This window comes from Homo sapiens, chromosome 1, assembly GCF_000001405.40.
Source record: "Homo sapiens chromosome 1, GRCh38.p14 Primary Assembly".
NCBI lineage: Eukaryota > Metazoa > Chordata > Mammalia > Primates > Hominidae > Homo > Homo sapiens.
In genome coordinates, this window is record NC_000001.11 from 99256158 (window position 1) to 99276393 (window position 20236).

A 20236-nucleotide genomic window follows, 5' to 3' on the forward strand; every position below is an offset into this window, starting at 1 on the left:
AGTTTGAGGAAATCTCATAAGGAGGTTACTTTGGTTTGAAATTTGAAAAATCATTAAAGGAAGAGTACAAAAAAGGCTTTGATGCAAGAGAATATGGTTTATAAAATGCCATGTAGCCTAGGATGTCTGGAGTTAGTGTCTGTACAGGAAGGAGAGGTAAGATGGAAAGATTGGTGGAGGCCAGACAGAGGCCCTTATATGCCAGGCTAAAGACTGAATACAATTTTATAGGCAATGAAGAATCATAAAGCACTTTTGAGCAAGAGAGTGGCATGATCAAAATTGTGCTTTAAGAGAATGTTCATGGCGCAAAGTTATAGACTTGATCAGAAAATGGAAGATTCATAGTTAGGGAAATTAGCCACTATGCTATGATACTGTCACTGAAATAATGAAGTGAACAAAATGGTAAGAGCAGACATGGAAAAGAGGAAATGGAGAAAAGAGAAATGACGTGTTGTTTCTCCAATTCACTCATACAATTGGAAGTACAAGATGAGAATATATCAAATAAAATAAAATGATTTATAGCCTTGTGCTAGATTGTGCAGTCAAAATAAGGTCTACTGGTATTCAGAGAGATGCCTTTGAGAGCTAGAGTAGCAAGGACAAAATTCAGAAATGTGAGATATGAATGCATTCCAGGAGAGTAGAACAGCATGTGAGAAGGCACAGGAACAGAACAAAGATGGTGCAAGTGCAGCTCAAACAAGCTCATCAGAGGAGAGGATACATCTCTGCAGAGCGGGACACAAGACAAGTGTCTAGTGGGGCAGGACTTACCCAGAGGGGTGTTGTATGATGGAAGAGCCTGAAGGCCATAGCTGACTTTTTTAGGAAACCAGGCATTAATTGATTGTAATGGAAATACGGAAGAGAAAAATACAAAAGGGCAAAAGTTCATTGGAAATTCAAAAGAATTTGGAGACTAAATATAAGGGACACAGGCATGCATAAATCAAGGATGATGACAAGATTTTTAGATTGAGTGGTTTGGATCATCTTATACTTTAAATAGCTGCTGCTTGTTACTTTCCAGGAATATAGTAGAGAACCAGTTGCAGTGTGACACTGAAGAAAAAGGAATGGCCAATTTATATGTGTGTATTTCTCAACCCTTTCACACATAAACTAGTGTATTAACACAGCACAATAAGGTAAATGTTTTAAAAGGGAATTGAAGGCAGCTGTGCAGAACTTAGTAGGAAAAGCATCACATTTTTGTAGTATGTGAACATGAAGAAAAATCAAGTTTTGGAGAAATACTTTAAATTTAAAACTTCCAAATAAAATCTATTCAATTTTTAAATGAGAAACTTGAGCTTACTTGCGCTTACTTGTGCAAAGAATGGCTACATGCATTTTCTCATCAGAATTTTTACTTTGGACCTCTTTAAATTCTTGATAGTAACCATTGAAGAGAAACTTTGCACAAGTAGGTGATAAAAATCTGATATCATTGCTTTATAATCATTAAAAATACAACCCTTGAAATTACATGTGAAGAATTCAATAGCACTGCCTTCATTGACAAAAGTAATGTTTAAATTTCTTGTGATAAACTTAGATGTTTCTAAATCCAATTAAATATCTTTTATCACATATTGCAAAAGAAAAATAATGCTTTATTTGCAGAATGTACATTCATTTTTAGAGCCATTGCTATGCAGGTAGCATGGAAGCCATAAACAAGACATATCTGTACCCATGGACAGAATTTACAGAGAGAAGACAGAAATAGCAATCTCTTCCCTCTATTGTACCTGTGAGGAGAACCGTTGGATCTCTCCACTCTCCAAGCACCTTTAACAGACCACACCTAGGGGTGTGCCCGGTGCTCTTGGGCAATAACATATGCTGCAGCTGGTTGTCCAGTGGGTTTTCAAGTAGTGGGGCTCCCTCTTGGCTATATTTAGTACATTGGGGTGCAGCAGCAAATTCTGAAGTTGTTTCTCTCCTGATTTATAGCCTTCTGAACTTGCTGTCACGCACTGTTCCACCTTGAATCTGGATTATTGCAACCAGAAGCAATCTGCATTGAGACTTTGCATAGACCCTGCTAAGGCCCTGAGGGGATCAATATCTTATGGGACAGTTGAAACCCATTCACAACACACTGGTATGACAATGCACAACACAACTCTGCAATGAACTTTTTATTTTGTTGCCTGTATCACTGCTATAGGTTATCCTGGGGAAGCCACTGATTTCCAGGGCAAAGTTATGTTCCTGTGGGATGAAGCTCCGTAGATTCATGTAAATCAGCTTCTACCATATCCTGATAGGGAATCACAGAGGACCATAGTGGACAAAAGTCATCGATGGTAAAAAAAAATAAAAAATAAAAAAGGTAAAATTATATTTAAAAAATCTCTTGCCTGGGCCAGGCATGGTGGCTTACACCTGTAATCCCAACACTTTGGGAGGCCGAGGCAGGCAGATCACTTGAGGTCAGGAGTTCAAGACCAGCCTGGCCAACATGGTGAAACCCCATCTCTATTAAAAATACAAAAATTAGCCTGGCGTGGTGGCATACACCTGTAGTCCCAGCTACTCTGGAGGTTGAGGCAGGAGAATCACTTGAACCCAGGAGGTGGAGGTTGCAGTGAGCTGAGATCGTGCCACTGCACTCCAGCCTGGGCAAGAGAGTGAAAATCCATCTCAAAAAAAAAAAAAAGAATCTCTTGCCAGAAGAATTGCCGTTAGGTAAATTTGATGTTAGATTAAAAAACAAAAAAGTCATGTCTTCTTATCAAAGGTATGTGACTTTTTTGTTTGATTGTGGGCACAGAAAATGTTTTTATTTGTTGTGGGCACAGAAAATGGGCTCTGGCTAAATTAATGAGAAAGACAGGAAAGAGTAGAGGAAAGGATATATTTGGAAAGAAAATGGGGATATAAAAAGAAACAAAAGAAAAGAAAAAAGCCAGACTTCTTAAGGGAAAGGTAAAAAGGACAGTTCAGAGAACCAAAAGGCCAGCATTAATTATCATTCTCTTTTCTTCTATCATGCATCAACACCAACAATTTTCTGTCTCTGTGTCACTTTCCTCAAGATTCAGATTCCTGGGGAACAGGGTCCAGTTGCTCACATTTGGTCACTATCCTATCTGGCCTAGGGCCGACAGAATACCTTCATTTACAGTCCTAGTTTGGACTGTAGAAGTGGGACAGTTTACATGAAAATTCAAGAAACCATCACAAAAAGAAGGAATGATGGCTCCTGAACAAACACACAACAGATGTCCATTTCACTCCTCTAATCTATTCATTTTAGATGTGGAAACGGAGTCCCTGAGTTAAAATGCTCTTATTTACAGCCGTGGAATTAGTCAATGATGAGGCTGTAACTAAAACATCACTTTCTCATCCTTCAGAAGCTTCTCATTTCAGTGTTTTTCCTACTTCACACATCTGCATATTCAGTTATGTTAAGTTTCTTCCATTTAGAAAAATGCAATAAAATCTTACATTGTCCCCTTAAAGTGTGGTGGAGTGGGCTGATATCTGAGAAATATGTAACTAATTTAAATATATTTTTATGACCTTAAAGATAAATGTCATGCAAATACCCAAAGGGCAAATAGTTGCCAGGAAACAGAAAAGCAGTTTGCATTTGGCTATGGGCACACAAATCCAATATAGAGAAAAACGACTTCTTTCTTACCTGAGAAGTCTGACACTTTAAATAATAGTGTCAAATGCATTTTCAGGCATATTTTTTCCAGGTTATTTGTGCTATGAAGTACTCTGTCTCGCAAAATGTCAGAGGGCTGCTTTTTCAGTGGGTGCCATTTTTCATTCGAATGCACTGAAACAGGATTTCCATTGAAAATGTTCAAGTTCTGTGAGGCACATTATATTGTTTTTAATGTCACTATTATAATGTAGGGCTGCAACTAGCATACATGAAGCAACATTCAATATAAAAGTTTTGCACTTGGCTTCAATGTGAATTTATGTGGTAAAGATGGGATGAAACATATTTTTTAGTTTTGGAGTGTTCTCTAGTAGCCTCTGTGCTGTAAATGGTTTGAATGTCAACTCCTCTCATGGACTTCCTTGACTACCTTTCTTTTTCTTTTTATTATTATTGTTATTATTATTTTATTATACTTTAAGTTCTGGGGTACATGTGCAGAACATGCAGTTTTATTACATAGGTATACATGTGCCATGGTGGTTTGCTGCACCCATCAACCCGTCACCTACATTAGCTATTTCTCCTAATGTTATCCCACCCCTAGCCCCTCACCCCCGATAGGCCCCGGTGTGTGATATTCCCCTCCCTATGTCGATGTGTTCTCATTGTTCAATTCCCACTTATGAGTGAGAACATGCACAGTGTTTGGTTTTCTGTTCTTGTGATAGTTTGCTGAGAATGATGGTTTTCAGCTTCATCCATGTCCCTGCAAAGGACATGAACTTATCCTTTTTTATGACTGCATAGTACTCCATGGTGTAAATGTTCCACATTTTCTTTACTGATGGACATTTGGGTTGGTTCCAAGTCTTTGCTATTGTGAATAGTGCCACAACCACCATTCTTAAGAAGTTTCTCATTGTGATTACAACTGCACCTTAATTGTTTGTTTAGTAGTCTATATCACAAGATATAATTATATGTTTGTAAAGAGAGGCAGTAGGTGTAGCCCTTAAGATCACATAGCCTGCAGCAACCTACTGAGTTCAACAGTCTCAGCCCTACTAATTATATCTGTGGTCCTTCCATAAAATCATAGTTTACCCCCTGAGTCTCAGTTTTTTAACTATAAAATGTGATAATAATGATACTAATTTCATAAGGATCTTGTGAGTACGTGAGGTAAGATGCAAAGTATTGTTAATGATGCTTATTCCATAGTGAGCTTCATGGAGGTGTTTTCTATTACTATTACTAATTTATTGTCTGTGTCTGTCTTCTCTTCACCTACATTAGCCTGTGAATTCTATGAAGGCAACAAGCATATATACTCTTTTCTCCAGTGGGTGTCTTGTGAGAAATATGCCTCTCACATAGCCGGGGATCAATAAATACTTGTAGGTTGAATGGATGGACTGATGAATGGATGAGTCAGTTTTACATTTCACCAAGTGCTTTCACATATATCGTCACAATTAAGCTACCAGGCATTGTTGTCAGATAGTACCAGTACTCTTCTCATTTTACATAATAGAAAACTAAAGCTTGGAGATACTAAGTGATTTGCTTATGAGCAGAGTTCAAACATTACAAATCCTGAGCTCAAGTTCATGTCTTCTGACTCCAAATTTTATTCTGTTTTGGTTCAAATTTTTCTATTTATTTATTCTATCTCTGAGTTCTGTCTACTGATTTTTTTTATAAAATAGGGAAATCATTTGCCCTGTTCACTTCATTGCATTGTTTTGAGTACCAAAAGTGAAAGTAGGTAATATATATCAAACTGTTACCCCAATGTAAGACATTACTATGGTGTTTAGTATTTAAGGGAATCTTTAGCTTGATTGTTTTATGAAATGCTATATATTAGAAAAATAAAATTCAAAAGAAGAGAGACAGAAGGAAGGAGAATCTGACCTAATGAAAGATAAAGGATTTACAATAAGTATTGGCTTTGAATTCTGAAACATTTCCTGATCCTTGACAATGTGAGCAGGTCAATCTGGGCAGACCAGCTAGGGAGGAAAAAAAGAGTACCTTTCTGATGTTTTGACAATTTGTTGAATTGTTGATGTATGGTCAGCATACATCTCTGATATTTTATCACATACCTTCAGGTTTTTTTGCTATTGAAATTAGGTGGGTATAGGTTTAGTCTTATATTTCACCTCTTCTCAAATAAAAACACTGAGTTTCCAGGATGATAACATCTCTCTTAAGTTTAATATGTTCTAGCTTATTTTTTACCTCACCAAAAATTGTAAATTTTCTTGAGGTACCAAGAAGGTTGAAAAAAGAAAGGGCTCCAGTACCCACCCCCTCCACAAGACAAAGTAACATTGGTAGTAATGAAAAGTATAACTACTGATTAATGTAATAGTTAAACAGAATCAACAAGCACTTAATGAACATATACTATGTGAAAAACTATGCTATACGGTTATATAAGCATCACTTAATTTTATTGTTCCATTTATTTCTTCACTATGTACTGACAACCTACTCTTTGCCAGGCACACTTGTAGTTACCAGAAAACATAATAATGAAAATGTGCTTGACTTTACAGAGTTCACTAGTGGGTGAGGCAGACAAGATAAAAAAGGACACAGAAATACTTGATATACTATCAAATGGTGACAAATTCTATGAAGGAAAATAAAATAGTATAAAAGAATAAAGAGTAACAGAGGTCTGAGATTATGAATCTACTCGGTGCATCAAACACAACTTCCCTGAGGAGTTAAAATTTGTGCAGAGATATGAATTAAATGAGGGGTTAAGCCATGCAATTTTGGCGGAACAGAGTTCTTGGACAAAGGAACAGTAAGTACAAAGCTCCTGAGGCAGTGAAAGGCTAGGCTGGAACGGCCAGACCATTGAGGTGCAAAGTGATGTGAATGAGGTCCTAGAACCAGGCAAGGTGGCCAGGCAGGGCTTTAAGGAAGAGACGGGAAGTTTGGACTTTCCATTGAAGTGGAAGAGAGCTCTTGGAGGGTTTGGGTAGGGGAATAAAACAATTGGGTTTACTTTCCAAAGGACCTTTCTGGCTGCTGCGTAGGGAATGGTTTGTAGGTTGTGGGAATGGCAAATGCAAAAGCTGGTAGAACAGTTAGAAGGCCGTTAGGTTATTCCAGTCTAGGCAAGAGATGGCGGTCGCTGTGTGTGGTGGGGGGTGAGGGCAAGCACTGAGTTTAGGAAGAAGATGTAGTTCTCTTCTGATTACTTCTATTTTCTAAGTGAAATAAGAGTTAATGTCATGAACTGAGAATGAGGAGATTTGAGAAGTGAGAAGTTGTGAATGGGAAAATGGCTGGACAGAAAAAATTATAGAATCGTGGGGGCAACTCCAGGACCTACTTGGAGTTTGTGGTCATGAGTTGGATGTGAGACAGCATCATGCGGTTGTGTGTTTTTCTCCAGCCACTTTCAGTTGCTCTGGTAAGGGCAGAGAATTGGGTTCAACTAAGCCGGGATATTATCAGGTGAGTATGGCAAATTGGGAGGCGGAAACAAGCAATTATATTGCTAGACTTTGGAACCCAAGCCTGGCAGAAGAAAGTGGGGGCAAGAGGTGGTGTTGGCAGTGAAATGAGTATATTATTAGATAGGATGGTCCCATACTGCCAAAGACCTATTGGAGGAGCAACTAAAAAAGGGAAATGGATAAATGAGTTGGGAATTGGCCATCACATGCTTGAAATGGAGACTTGGAGATATTGGAAATGGCCTGGGACATGTGATCACAAAATTAGGTCATCTTTATTAGTATAATATCATGTCTCGTGTTTGCTGGGTCTTTCTCTCTTCTATATCAACTTGATACTTCTGGTTGCCAAAGTAATCACAAAATTGAGACTAGCCATGTATACTGCCAACAAGATGAAGGACTTTAGATTATTAATATCTGAAGACATACTTCTTTTTACTGTTATGATTGCAATACTGACACTGTTCTGGGGGTGTGACAGTGAGATTAGAACATACAGTAGCCTCTGGGCTCAATGAGGATGCCCATTACCTGTGCATTCACACATCTGCCTCTCTGGATGCAAGGAACCCACATCATTCCCACACAACCGGTAGTGTTTGTTAGTGGGTGCTTCGATATGGAAGGGAGATAAGGAGTCTCCTAGGCAGAGAATCCCCCGTAGGAGCTGTCATTCCTGGGTAGCAACAAGCTGTCAGTTAATGCCTACCTCAGCCTACTTTTCAGTATGGGATCCAAGATCTCATTTCGTGGAGGTAGGGGTTGGTTTTCTTGCTATGGGTCAGCGCGCTGGAGCAGGGCTTCTGATCCTTAGCATTCTTTAATAGCATTCCTAGAGTGACCTAGGAGGCTCCCCAGGAGGAGACTAGGTGGCTTAGCTCCTCAGCCTAACTACTGCAGAAACCAGGAGTGCGTCCTCCTTTTCGGATTCTTGACGTCAAGCTCCGACAGCCTTGGAGCGTCGCAAGGGCGGTAGAGAGCTGAGGGAGGGTGACAGGGAGGGGAAGCCATTGCAGCAACAGCTTGGAGGAGGGAGCTGGACGTCGTCTCTCGCCAGAAAAACGGGGAGCAGGAGCCAGACTAGGGGAGGAAGAGGACTGGCCCGCTCAGGGAATAGCTGGGTTGCTGCAAAAAGGGGCGGGGAGAAGGCGGGGGCGCTGCATGCAGCGCGCTGGCTCCAGCGGTGGCCGCGGGGAATGTGACATCAGCGGCGCCGGGCGCTTGGGGCTGGAGGAGGCAGCTCGCCTCAGCTGCGCTGTGCACACCTCGCCCGGGGGAGGACGCAGACCCGGGCAGGCGGCAGGGATGTCGGCGAAGGAGAGGCCAAAGGGCAAAGTGATCAAGGACAGCGTCACCCTCCTGCCCTGCTTTTATTTCGTCGAGGTGAGTTGGCCCAGTGCCTTGGCATAATGCAGATCCTCTGGGCATCTCCTGAGCGAATTCAGGTCCTGGACAGTGTTGGAGGCGCAGAGATCCTGCCGGGCGCGCGCGGCTGTCCCCAAATGCCCGACCCTCCCCTCTTCCCCTAGATTTCACAGCAGCTCCCCGAATGTGCCTGTGAATACCTGTCAGCCCGGGGTGATTACCATTAGAGGTGTCGCTGCTGGGTGGCCTGCAGGGAACGGATACCTGTGTGAGTGAGTGTGGTTTTAGTTCCTTGGCCCTCCTGTAGTGCCTGTGTGCACAACGTCCGCTAGTGCCCCAGAGGGGCCATGATGCCCATATTTCGGGATTTGTGTCTTCAACCTGCCGAGTACGTGTCGGGAACTCCGTGTGCACACAGCTATGCCTAGGGCATATGAGGGTTGAAGGTGTTTACATAGTACAAATATTGTTAATTGCTTTTATTGCTCCTGCCCCCCCCCCCCAAATCCTTCTCCTATTATATTATTTTGGTGCTCACATACGCTTCTGAAATTGGATCTGCATCTCTAAACATCAATCATCAATGTACTGGCCTCTTTCCACAGTAAAAAATACATATTATATATGTGTGTATACATAACTATATATAATATTTTAAATCTATGACATCATCTGATTTTACATGATTTGTATCTGAGTATTTACTGTGCTGAGCAGTATTATAGATAAACAATTAAATGCAGATGTATCCGTAATGACCCTCTAACTTACCAAAATGCAGTATTTGAGGGAGAAACAATTCATAGGAGTGTTATAAAGATTGGCAGATACAGTGATTCCGTGTACTGTGCTCCATTGCATTAGGAAGACATTTTTAAGCAAGAGGTTTATTAAATTACAGATACTGAAGGGTTGTATTGCATAGATTTAGGGAAATCAGATGGTTTTAGGCACAAAACTATATTCTGTTTAGTTAGAGTCTGGGTTGCATAGAGAATTATAAGACTGTTGCTGAATCATAAATATCCTTCTCTGGCCATCTTTTCAGCCAAATATGGAGGTTTAGCCCTTCGAAGTGCAAACAGTAGATTCTGTATTCAATGATTGTAAGGCTTATCTGTCCTGAGGAATAGTCACTGCCTTGAAACTTGGGAGAAGAGACATTGTCGGACTGTTCTTATAGGTAACAATATATTTGGAAGTTTTGTAGAAGTGTCATAGATTTTTTAAATAATTTCAGTTTCAAGAAAGATGTATGTGACTTGCATAACTTTCAGAGAAATGATGGGTGACCCCTGCATTCATGAACCATAGAAAAGAAGAAAAAAAAATCTATGTATTTAAAATAATGAATCCATTTATTATCCTTTCTCTTTTCACAAGAGATTTTTGGGAACATGGTTTAGGTAATTTTTGTTGAAAGATAATAAAGAGCTTTCTCAAGAAAAATGTAGGTAGCAGAAGATTCCATGATGAAAATGGTGAAGGAATAGAAAGATGAGATACCTGCCTTCAAGTTCAATCCATCAGACCACTTGTCGCATGGCTAATCCGTGTAGTTTTGTATTATAGTGATTTCATTTGTGTCTGAATCAATGACATTTGTCTAGGAGAAATCAGTTAATGGCTGAGTTCCATCTCCAGGAAGGAACACACCTGAGGTCAGCTAGAAGCTGACTACATGTGGGTTGCAGCTATATGGCTTCAAGGAAAATGCCCTCATGAAAGAGGAGGCAAACCAGAGAATTAAGGATGTGCCTTTACAGAATGTACGTGGGCGCTTTTGAGGCATCTTTAACCGGAGTACATGTCCCTTAAGCAAGAATTTTAAAAGTACAAGTGCCTCATAATGCAATTGAATTGTGTGTTTAGGAACAGACATCTCACAATTGTTACTTCTTTTCCATGAGTGGAAATAGCCCAGATTCATTACTTTTACTTTGGCCTATTCAGATACCCTCTATGAATTCCTTAGCAGGGCAAGCTGTAGAACAATTACTTGAACACAATTCATGGAGTTTAAATGAGCATTGATGACACTGTATCTTGGGGTTAACAGACTTCAAAGACAGAGCCACACAATTGGATTGCAAATTATCTTCCTAAAAATTAAATGCATGATGAACCACTAAAGAGCCTCCAGAAAATGGGAGACTGCATTAGTATAAAAATTATTTAAGGGTTTGACCACATGCACTATCACGCTCCTTTGAAATGACTCATTTTGAAGCTGGTGAGAATGCACTAAATTTACATCTCCTTCGTAGGATGAATAAACATAGCTGGAATTTGCATGTTAGTAAAATGCTCTAGAGTAATGACACTTTGCTTTACAGCATAGTTTCCCAAGACCTTAGAAATTAAGATGGAAAAGTGAAACATGAGTGAATCTCCTTCCATCACATATCAGTCTAAAGCATATATTTTTAGCCTTCTCTGTTACTCAAACCATAATTTAAGTAACAAGAAGAGGCTAACAAAACAGATCTCAGGAGAAAACAGTCCCTGGTTCTCAAGTCAGTGACACCATGAGCAACTTACACTTTGCCTTTTTTCAAGGAGTTTAGAAGTTTTAAATTACTAATTCATGATAGGTATGAGATGTGAAGAAACTTTAATTGGGAAAATGAGGGAAGGGAAACTTACACTCGAGCCAGAGGGGGCTGAAATCAAGATGGACTGAGTTGTGTCAGGAAAATGGCAGCATGCTCTAGGAAAATCCTGGGCCTTGCAGACAGATTGACTTGGTTCAAACACCGCCTTTGCCAGATACTACATGAATAATTCTGGCCAAGTTACTTCTCTCATCCTTAGTTTCTTCACATATAATAGAATTTACATAATATAAATATAAATACACCTGTATTCATACATAAGAGAAATTATTATACCTACATCTTAGAATATTGAATATATTATGAGGTTAAAGGATCATGACTGAGATATGGTAGGCAATCAAGATATGTTAGTTCCTTTCCTTTCTTATAACTGTTCTTGACCTGAAATAAATTATTTTACTTATAGTTTGGACTTAAGGGATCAAGTCCTGACAAGGTCTAGCTTAAGAGTTCCCATTGTTGAGAAGAAGTCATCTTCTCCCCAATTTCTAGAAATAGTTTGGGCTCCACAGGCTTCTTGAAATGGACTTGTATTAATTGACACAAATGGGGAGAGTGAAGTACTATTTACAGTTTGTACAAGAATAATGACAACCATTTATAAAGTACTTAGTATGTACTAACAATAAAGCTAAATGCTTTACATCCACCATGTTGTTCAATCTTCAAAGTTTCTCTTTAAGAAAGAGGCCATTATTATCTGTGTTTTGAAGAAGAAACTGAAACTCATAAAAGTTAAACAACTTGCCCAATTTTATAAAGCAAAGTTAGAGGCAGGGCTGGGTATTAACTCAAAGGTCACGCTCTTCACCACTGCAATAACAATCTCTCTCAACTTGTTGAAAGAACATTCACATAGGCAAAGTTACTTTCTATTGTTTCTCACTGGTAAAAAAGGAAGATGTAGTAAGGCAAGGGCACACTGACAAACAGGGTGATACAGTTTTCTCTGGCAACAGATCAGCTTCCTCAGCTCAGTTCCTCCTCCACTGGGAGTGTCCAAGCACAAAGAGTTGGAGGACAGTGCATACTCCCCACATTGGCTCATCAGTTAGTGGCTAGTGCCCCTCAACAAGAACTCTGGATAGATGCAAGGAAGGAGTAAAGATGTTGGCAGCCCATTTGCAGAGTGTCAAGGTATCTCTAATTATACCCCAATGGGCATTAGGCTGAGGTGTTGGTGTTCAGCCACTAAAACCAAGTAATCTTGTCCTTGTTCACCACGATACCTGATGTTAAAGCACACATTAGTTGAAGGGATAGAATTTAGGGATAGAATTATTTTTTTCTTACATTTTTGGTTTATGCTGCTGCTTGCTAATGAAATGGCTTATGGTTGACAGTAATATTAGATGGTGACTTGAAAAATACGATGATTTTTAGTTTTGCACCTCATTTTATGAGCAAGTTTCTTAACTCAGTTTTACACTGTACAGCCTGGGAAAACAAAGGTCAAGTTGTGAAAAGAACTCTCAGACAAGCATACCCACACCTTATTAGGATAAAGAGAAAAGCAGGTAAAAAGCAATGTTCCACTAGAGAAAAGGTTTATCATGCCCTTAAAGTTCCCAAGTACACTGCAAGTGATGGCTGTATCACTTACAGTGGCAATTGCAGCCAGCAGTATACCTAGAGTTAACAAAAGAGTATTCAAACTTTTTGTTTATTATTATACTTTAAGTTCTGGGGTACATGTGCAGAACATGCAGTTTTGTTACATAGGTATACACGTGCCATGGTGGTTTGCTGCACCCATCAACCTGCCACCTATATTAGGTATTTCTCCTAATACTATCCATCCCCTAGCCCCCCAACCCCCACAGGCCCTGGTGTGTGATGTTCCCCTCCCTGTGTCCATGTGTTCTCATTGTTCAGCTCCCACTTATGAGTGAGAACATCTGGTGTTTGGTTTTCTGTTCTTGTGTTAGTTTGCTGAGAATGATGGTTTCCAGCTTCATCCATATCCCTGCAAAGGACATGAAGTCATCCTTTTTTATGGCTGCATAGTATTCCATGGTGAATGTGTGCCACATTTTCTTTATCCAGAATATCACTGATGGGCATTTAGGTTGGTTCCAAGTCTTTGCTACTGTGAACAGTGTTGCAATAAACATATGTGTATATGTGTCTTTATAGTAGAATGATTTATAATTATTTGGGCATAGCCCAATATTATATGTGATAAGGCTGGTTGTCTGGGGCTAGTGCACTTCCTTTATGCAAAGAATTACAGTGGTCCCTCTGGGGCTCAGGCTCACAATTTTATTCTCATTAGTCATCCTGCTCAAAGATCAATTCACTATATAATGTAAACAAATGACAAATTACCTTTTTAAGCCTAAAAAAATATAAATTCCTAACATGAAATAAATGGGAAAGGGATTCTTTTTACTTAAACATTCTGCTATATGATATAACATTTTTATGACAAACCTGATGCTAATTTTATGAAGGCAGAAGAGTTATGCTTGACCTATATGCAAATATATTTTGACAGGGCTACAGATAGAGAAAAGAGTTTGAAATTGCCTGTTATTCATACGAGAAAACACACAAAGACACATATGTATGCACACACTTCTGTGCATAGGTATGTACAAATACACATGGAGTAAGAATATCATCTCTCTCTCCACTCAGCATAAAATTACAGTATCTGAAGCATTCCAATTCAGAATATTTTAATCTCAAAAAATTAAGATTACTCAGAAAGTTTTCATTCCTTTTGTGTGTGTGTGTGTGTGTGTGTGTGTGTGTGTGTGTGTGTGTGTGTGGCAGGGTCTTGCTCTGTCACCCAGGCTGGATTGCAGTGGCATGATCACAGCTCACTGCAACCTCTGCCTCCCAGGTTCAAATGATTCTCCCACTTCAGCCTCCTGAGTACGTGGGACTACAGGCATGCACCACCACACCCAGCTAGTATTTATAATTTTTAGTAGAGACAGGATTTCACCATGTTGCCCAAGCTGGTCTCGAACTCCTGGGCTCAAGCAATCCTCCCGCCTCAGCCTCCCAAAGTGCTGGGATCACAGGCATGAGCCACTGCACCTGGCCTACTCAGAAAGTTTTCATTACTTTGAATGTGTACTTAGCAGTAGATACGTTGCAGGATTTTGTTAATGGAGCTTAATTACTATAAGGTCAGTAACTAAACAGTTTGTTCAGAAGAAGAAGCCATTGCTGCTACTCTGTTGCCATCCTACCTGGGGAAGTTCAACAAGCCTTTGAGCAAAGACACACATTTTGAAATTGTGGCTTCTTGACAAAACCTTAATACAATTTTTATTTTCTTTCCATTGGAAAGTGTCCACAGGTTTTTAATTGTAGCAAACATTAATTCACAAGATTTCTCTTCTATCTCATGATCTATGTACAAATTATATAACTCATTTGATTTTCTTGCTGAGAAATATTGCTAGTCTATTCCCTTTTACATAAACTTTAGCATCAGTAGGAAATACAAAATCACATTTCTGCATTGCATATACCAAAATAGTAGCTGTAGATTTTTTTCTCTTCTCTAGATTGTATAGAAGTAGAGTCTGCTTAAAGAAGTACTTCAAACCCTGCCAAATGAGATGAGTTGGCAAGTCTCTTCTCTTTCAAAGTCACAATGCATAAAGTCTGATGCAAAATAAAGTAAATAGAGAACAGAGTCCTAAGTTTTAGAGATAGAGTTAAATGAGGACATTTCTACAAATCTAAGCATCGAACATAGCACTTGCTATTAGGGAATTATTTTCTATTCCTAAACACCACCACTATCTTACTGTTTCTTCATGGCCAAGTTACTCAAAATGTGATTTTTTTCTACTTTTCTCTATCAGGAAATAAAAAATACTTGGTTTCTGCCAATTTCAAGGAGATTTTAATAATGATGATAATAATCATAGTAATAACAAAGAATAGTTCATTTCAAGTCTTCTTTATATGGCAGACTCTCTAGATACATTACTTTTAGTCCTGAGAACTACCCTACTGAGAAGGCATTGTTATCTTTATTTTTTGAATCAGAAATTGTAGCTCAGAGAGCTACTGTTTTTACCAGGGACACATAGCAATGAAGTGAGGGAGTCAGGATTTCAGAGCTTGTCCATCTTGCTCTTGCATTATGACTACACCATACTGTCTCACACATGCTTCCAACAACAATGCTAAACCTAGTGATGAAGTGCAATGGAGAGCCCTGTCTGTGCTGTGACTTGGCTAGCTTCATGGTATCTGGATGCATGCATTTGAAACATGTCTGTTTGTGGCTCTGTCAGAGTTCTGGAACAGAGTTTTTCTCTACATTCAGCTACTAAACTTGGCTGTATTAGTGGTATTTCCTACTTAATAGTAACTGGTTTAATTTTTGACATGTCTAGAAGGCACAGTGTCCCCTAAAAAGAAGCGTCCTCTGGGCAAGCACAAATGGCACCCATGAGTCTCTGATGAAGATTAATGAGGATCAGTGGGTGGGGGTGAGAGGGAAGACTTGGAACTTAAATAGAGTTTAGGAGAGTAGAATATGTAGGTGTGTCCAAATGATAGAAAGAAAGAAACTCAACAAGGTAATAGAAACAGAGAGAGGTCAAGTCAAGCAGGATTAGAAGAAAAAGCATTAGAAAATTGAAGGTAGGAGTGAAGTGTGTGTGTGTGTGTGTGTGTGTGTGTGTGTGTGTGTGTGTGTGATGGAGATCCAATCTGTGAGCAAACCATGGAGACCCCTTTAAACATTTTGGTTTTCTAAGCTGGCTTATTAAATAAAGATTATTTGAGACACAATTATTGCTGTTTATGTTGGAAATGTATTACAAATATTACTCAAAGCAAACACATTTTCTCTCAGCATATGTATACAGCATAGGCTATTTCTCAAGCAACTTTTGTATTTAAAAGGTGAGGAAATGTCTCACAGAGTTTAAAAGTCTTATTACAGAGATAAGGCTAATAAAATTATGCGATCCAAGAACATATGGCCTCACTGTTTCTTCTACCACCTAAGAAAATTTTGCTTTGAAAAGGTTAACTGAGTTAACCTTTGGACACATCAAGTATGCCAGCGTTACCTAAGGACACACTGGTTAATATCAGATCAGGAATAGAACCTAGGTCTCCTGACTCCTGTTCTAGTGCTCTTTCCTAATTATTACTATTTCTAGAATTCCTTTTATTAGAAAGTTTCCCTCTGGATTATAACATTTAAAATACAGGTCATTCTAATTCTACATGTGAACAAATTGCGCTGGCTGTTTGTGCTAACTTCCAAACACATTTCATGACCACCTTACATTAAACAAGTCAAAGCAATTATGAATGGATCTTCCACTGTTCCAAATTGTTAGGCTCTTTGAAAAGCACGGTAATAGCTAAAGATTAGAAAATTAGGAGGGATTTTTCTCATTGCCTAAGTGCCCACCTGTAATTTCACAATTAACTCCCTTGACATGAGGTCTCTAACAGAGAGTACAGGGAAGTATAAACATGGGAAGCAGTAAGAATATAATTTATGTCATCAGTTATGGAATAGCTTTGAATTTTCCCTTATACTTCAATGTAAATTTTTCATACATTATCTCATCTGATCCTCTAAATGCAACTGAGAAGTAAATATAAACTCTATTTTAAAACTTAAGTAACGAAGACTCAGGGAAGTCCAAAAACTTGCCTAAAACTCAAGTAGTGCTATTTTTCATCTTGGTCAGAAGAAAAAAAAAGGTGATATTTAAACTGTGAAATGTCTAATTATGAGCATCATGGTAGCCTTTTATGGTATGAATTAGCTGAGAAATGTATTTACAGATAACTATCGAATGGAGTAATCTTTTCATGGTCAAGTGGATTTTGTAATATGGATGCCAAGGATAGAAATACTAATTTTGGCAGAACTAACATTGAGGTGTTTTTCTTACCAATAATTAGACTGAACCAATTGCACTTAGGTCCATAACTATCTGGTTGGCTGTCAAGCAACATAGAGGAGGTTAATGGCTTTCTTATTTGCTGTAACAAGATGGTTTCTGCCTGTGTAAAACTGGTATTTAGATCACTTAAGAATAAATTAAAGAAAAGGGGAAAGACGAGTAATTAAAATCAATGTATTTGTGGGAAAAGGTAAACATGGAATCATACATTTAACAGAAGAATGATGTTTGGGAGTGAGAGCAATGGAAGTAGATGTGACTATATCGTTAACAATTTAATGCTCTTACCAAAAGTCTGCGCTATGGGTTTGCTTAGAGGTAAACTGCCATTTAATGAAATCCTAGGCATGCTTCAGAAATTAAGTCCTCATGGATAGAGTCCAAAAGAGACTGATCTTTTATTAAATGTTCTTCAATAAGGAATGCTAAAATGAAATTCCAGGGTATAACCTGTTTTGTACTCTTACAACAATTTATTTATGTGTTGAATAAATATCAATTGCTTATGATGTGACTTTTGGTAAAAGTAATAGAAACAAAATGGAATCATCACTGGCATACTTTCCGGTCTATAGTAGAATTTCAATAAATTTTAACTGGATGTAATAAAATAGGACTAATCATATGAACATAAATTTTTCTTTAACTGTCTTTTATCAGCTGGTGGAGACATTTTTATTTGTAAAGTGATCATAAATTGCCTATCAGAGATATTGCTCGGCCTTGTGGATTATTGAACAGTTGAAGATTAGATCAATATCCAAGGTCTATATGAGTCCTCATCTCTTAATTGTACTTACGTTCATTTTATAATCTAGGACTTACCTATGGATTGTTTGAGATTTGAAATTTCAAATAAAGGCATCACTGAAGCAAAGAACTTTGCAATTTTAATTTTCATAGAAAGTTATTTTAGTTACATAAGGTGCATATACCAGCAAACAATTTTCTGTGCCTATGGTAAAACAAACTATTAGATATATTTTTTTTTTACTTTTTTAAAAGAATATAGTTTTCTTTTTTACTTGATCTACCAATTAGCTTTAGAATCTTGGGCAGTTAACTTATTTTCTCTAAGCCTCATTTTTCTCATTTGAAAATGATGGAACTATTGTGGTCAGGTTAGAGTAATTATGACCCTTTAATCATATGCAAATTATAAAATATGGCCAAGAATTCTAAAGCAAAGACAGGCCTAGTAAATGAATTTTCTCTGTCCCATTTACCAACACCCCCTCTCCCATCTTGTCTAAAGTAAACTTTGTGGTAGCTTTAGATGCTACCTGATTCCCTGGAAAGGGGCTGGTTCTCCTGATTGTTTTTTATTGGTATCACACATTTATGTATGTTTTATACAGTGTGCATACAATGGTGGAGCAGTTTATTACAATGTATAATACAACAACAACAAATATTTACTGGAATTCCTGCTCATTTTTATAGATAGAGGGACATATGCACACACTCACAAAATAGAGACCACTTTTTTTCAGTACCCTTACCTTGACCTAGTCAGTGGAGGGGAATTCTCATTTACTGTGTGTCTTCTATACACAGTGCCCAGGTAACACTCTACTGAAAGTCTCTACTCCAAGGTTGTTGGTAGGCCCATAATCTGTAAGCCACTGCCATTCTTATCTTTCCAGAGTTCTAAAATATCATATATAAACTCGTCAGCAGCAGTGTCTGTTCAATGCAAATTAAATATCTTCCCATGCCTCAACTGAGCCATCTGTGAAATAAAGAATATTATGCTTTCTAAAAATGATGAATAAATTAGATTTAGTCTTTGGGAATGAGTCATCTCATTTAGGCTATTGTATGATTCATTGGAATCTTTTTTTTTAAGGCAGTTGGATACACCCTGAAGAATTAACAGGTTACTTATCCCTTGGGTGATGATCTGAAAATGCCTGTATTGTAGCAACTGAGATTTGAGTTATTAAAACATGAAGAACATCCAACTGTGAAGATTTGGACATAAATAATGTCTTCTTCATGGCAAAACCTGATAAAAAGGATGGTCAGCAATCTGTTATAAACAATATACTATAGGGAGATGAATTTTTGAAAACTCTTCTCCTTTAAGACCTCATTTGGTTTCTAGCTTCCAGTTGAATTTTATGTACATGAAGAAAAATTATTTGATGGTGTTACATCTTTCAATATTTCAGTCTCAGACTAATGGTTATTCCATAGATAATATTGGTTCTGGTAATTTTTAGACGGTTGGCCCAGGACATAATTAAGGAAAAATTCTTTTTATTATTTATTTTTAAACTCCAGCCTGTAGAACAATGCAAATAGCTGAGAGCAGACAGTCTCTCAATAAATCTGTGATGGATTCGTCGTTGCGTAGGTCAATAAATCTAGCAGCTTAATTAATGAATATAGGGAGACAGAGCCTGGACTGAACCTCAGCTTTGGCTTTGGCCTTGGCCACATTATTCTTTGGCTGACCTTAAAGGCTAGTGGTTCTTTCAGTCCTGTTCAGAAATAGAGGAAGAGATTGCTAAGACTTCACTGCTCAAATGTATGTTCCAACATGACTGACAAGGGCCAAGTGTAGCACATCCTAGAAAATGCCTACTTTATGGGACTACAAAAAACTTTAAGAACTGCTCATTCCAAATCCCCCAGCCCACCAAACTCAGGAGGCTGTTTCTTCCTCCACCACTACCCTTCACCTTCCTAAGATTCCAGAGGTCAATGCAGCACAGTAGGGAGAGGGAGAGGGGTATGAGGTACCTCATATGAGATGACCCTAAGAATCACAAGGACTGACGTTTTCCAGTAAAACACATAACACAATCCTACTTACTTTAATTAACTTAATCACAGCATTAAAATGTTAGAAAATAAAATAGAAGTTATTAATGTCCCACATTAAGTGCTCAACTTCAATATCTCTTTTACATACACCAAGCCTTTTCAAAAATGAAACTTAAATAACTAAGGCCTTCAGCAGCATTGGAAACTTAACTTTGAAGAAGGGCTCATAATGGGCATCTAAGTGTGCATCTAAGTGTGTATAAAGATGTGTATGTAGGAGACAAGCTTAGAGGGAAGAGAAGCTTGTGATATGCTAGAGCGTTCTAATCTCTGAAATTAGATGAGAAATTCCTTTTCTGGATAATTAATAGGTCAAATAAAATGTATCAGGCACATGGAAAATACTAAAAAGTATTTGTTAAGCATTGAATGTAATAGAAAATA

The 20236-nt window shown here is 38.3% G+C and overlaps 1 protein-coding gene across 3 annotated transcripts in view; it reads left to right on the top strand.

Annotated features, from left to right (window-relative positions):
• Window positions 1–6766: 6766 nt before the first annotated feature.
• Window positions 6767–20236, top strand: part of PLPPR4 (phospholipid phosphatase related 4) — a 46661-nt gene continuing 33191 nt past the window's right edge. For 2 of the 3 annotated variants that reach the window (NM_014839.5, NM_001166252.2), the window contains exon 1: window positions 8335–8514. In NM_014839.5, the coding sequence (NP_055654.3) occupies window positions 8437–8514 (78 nt within the window). In that variant the 5' untranslated portion in view covers window positions 8335–8436. Of the gene's footprint in view, window positions 7127–8334; window positions 8515–20236 lie in introns of those variants that run through there. The other variant, XM_011542498.3, reaches the window with a different exon arrangement.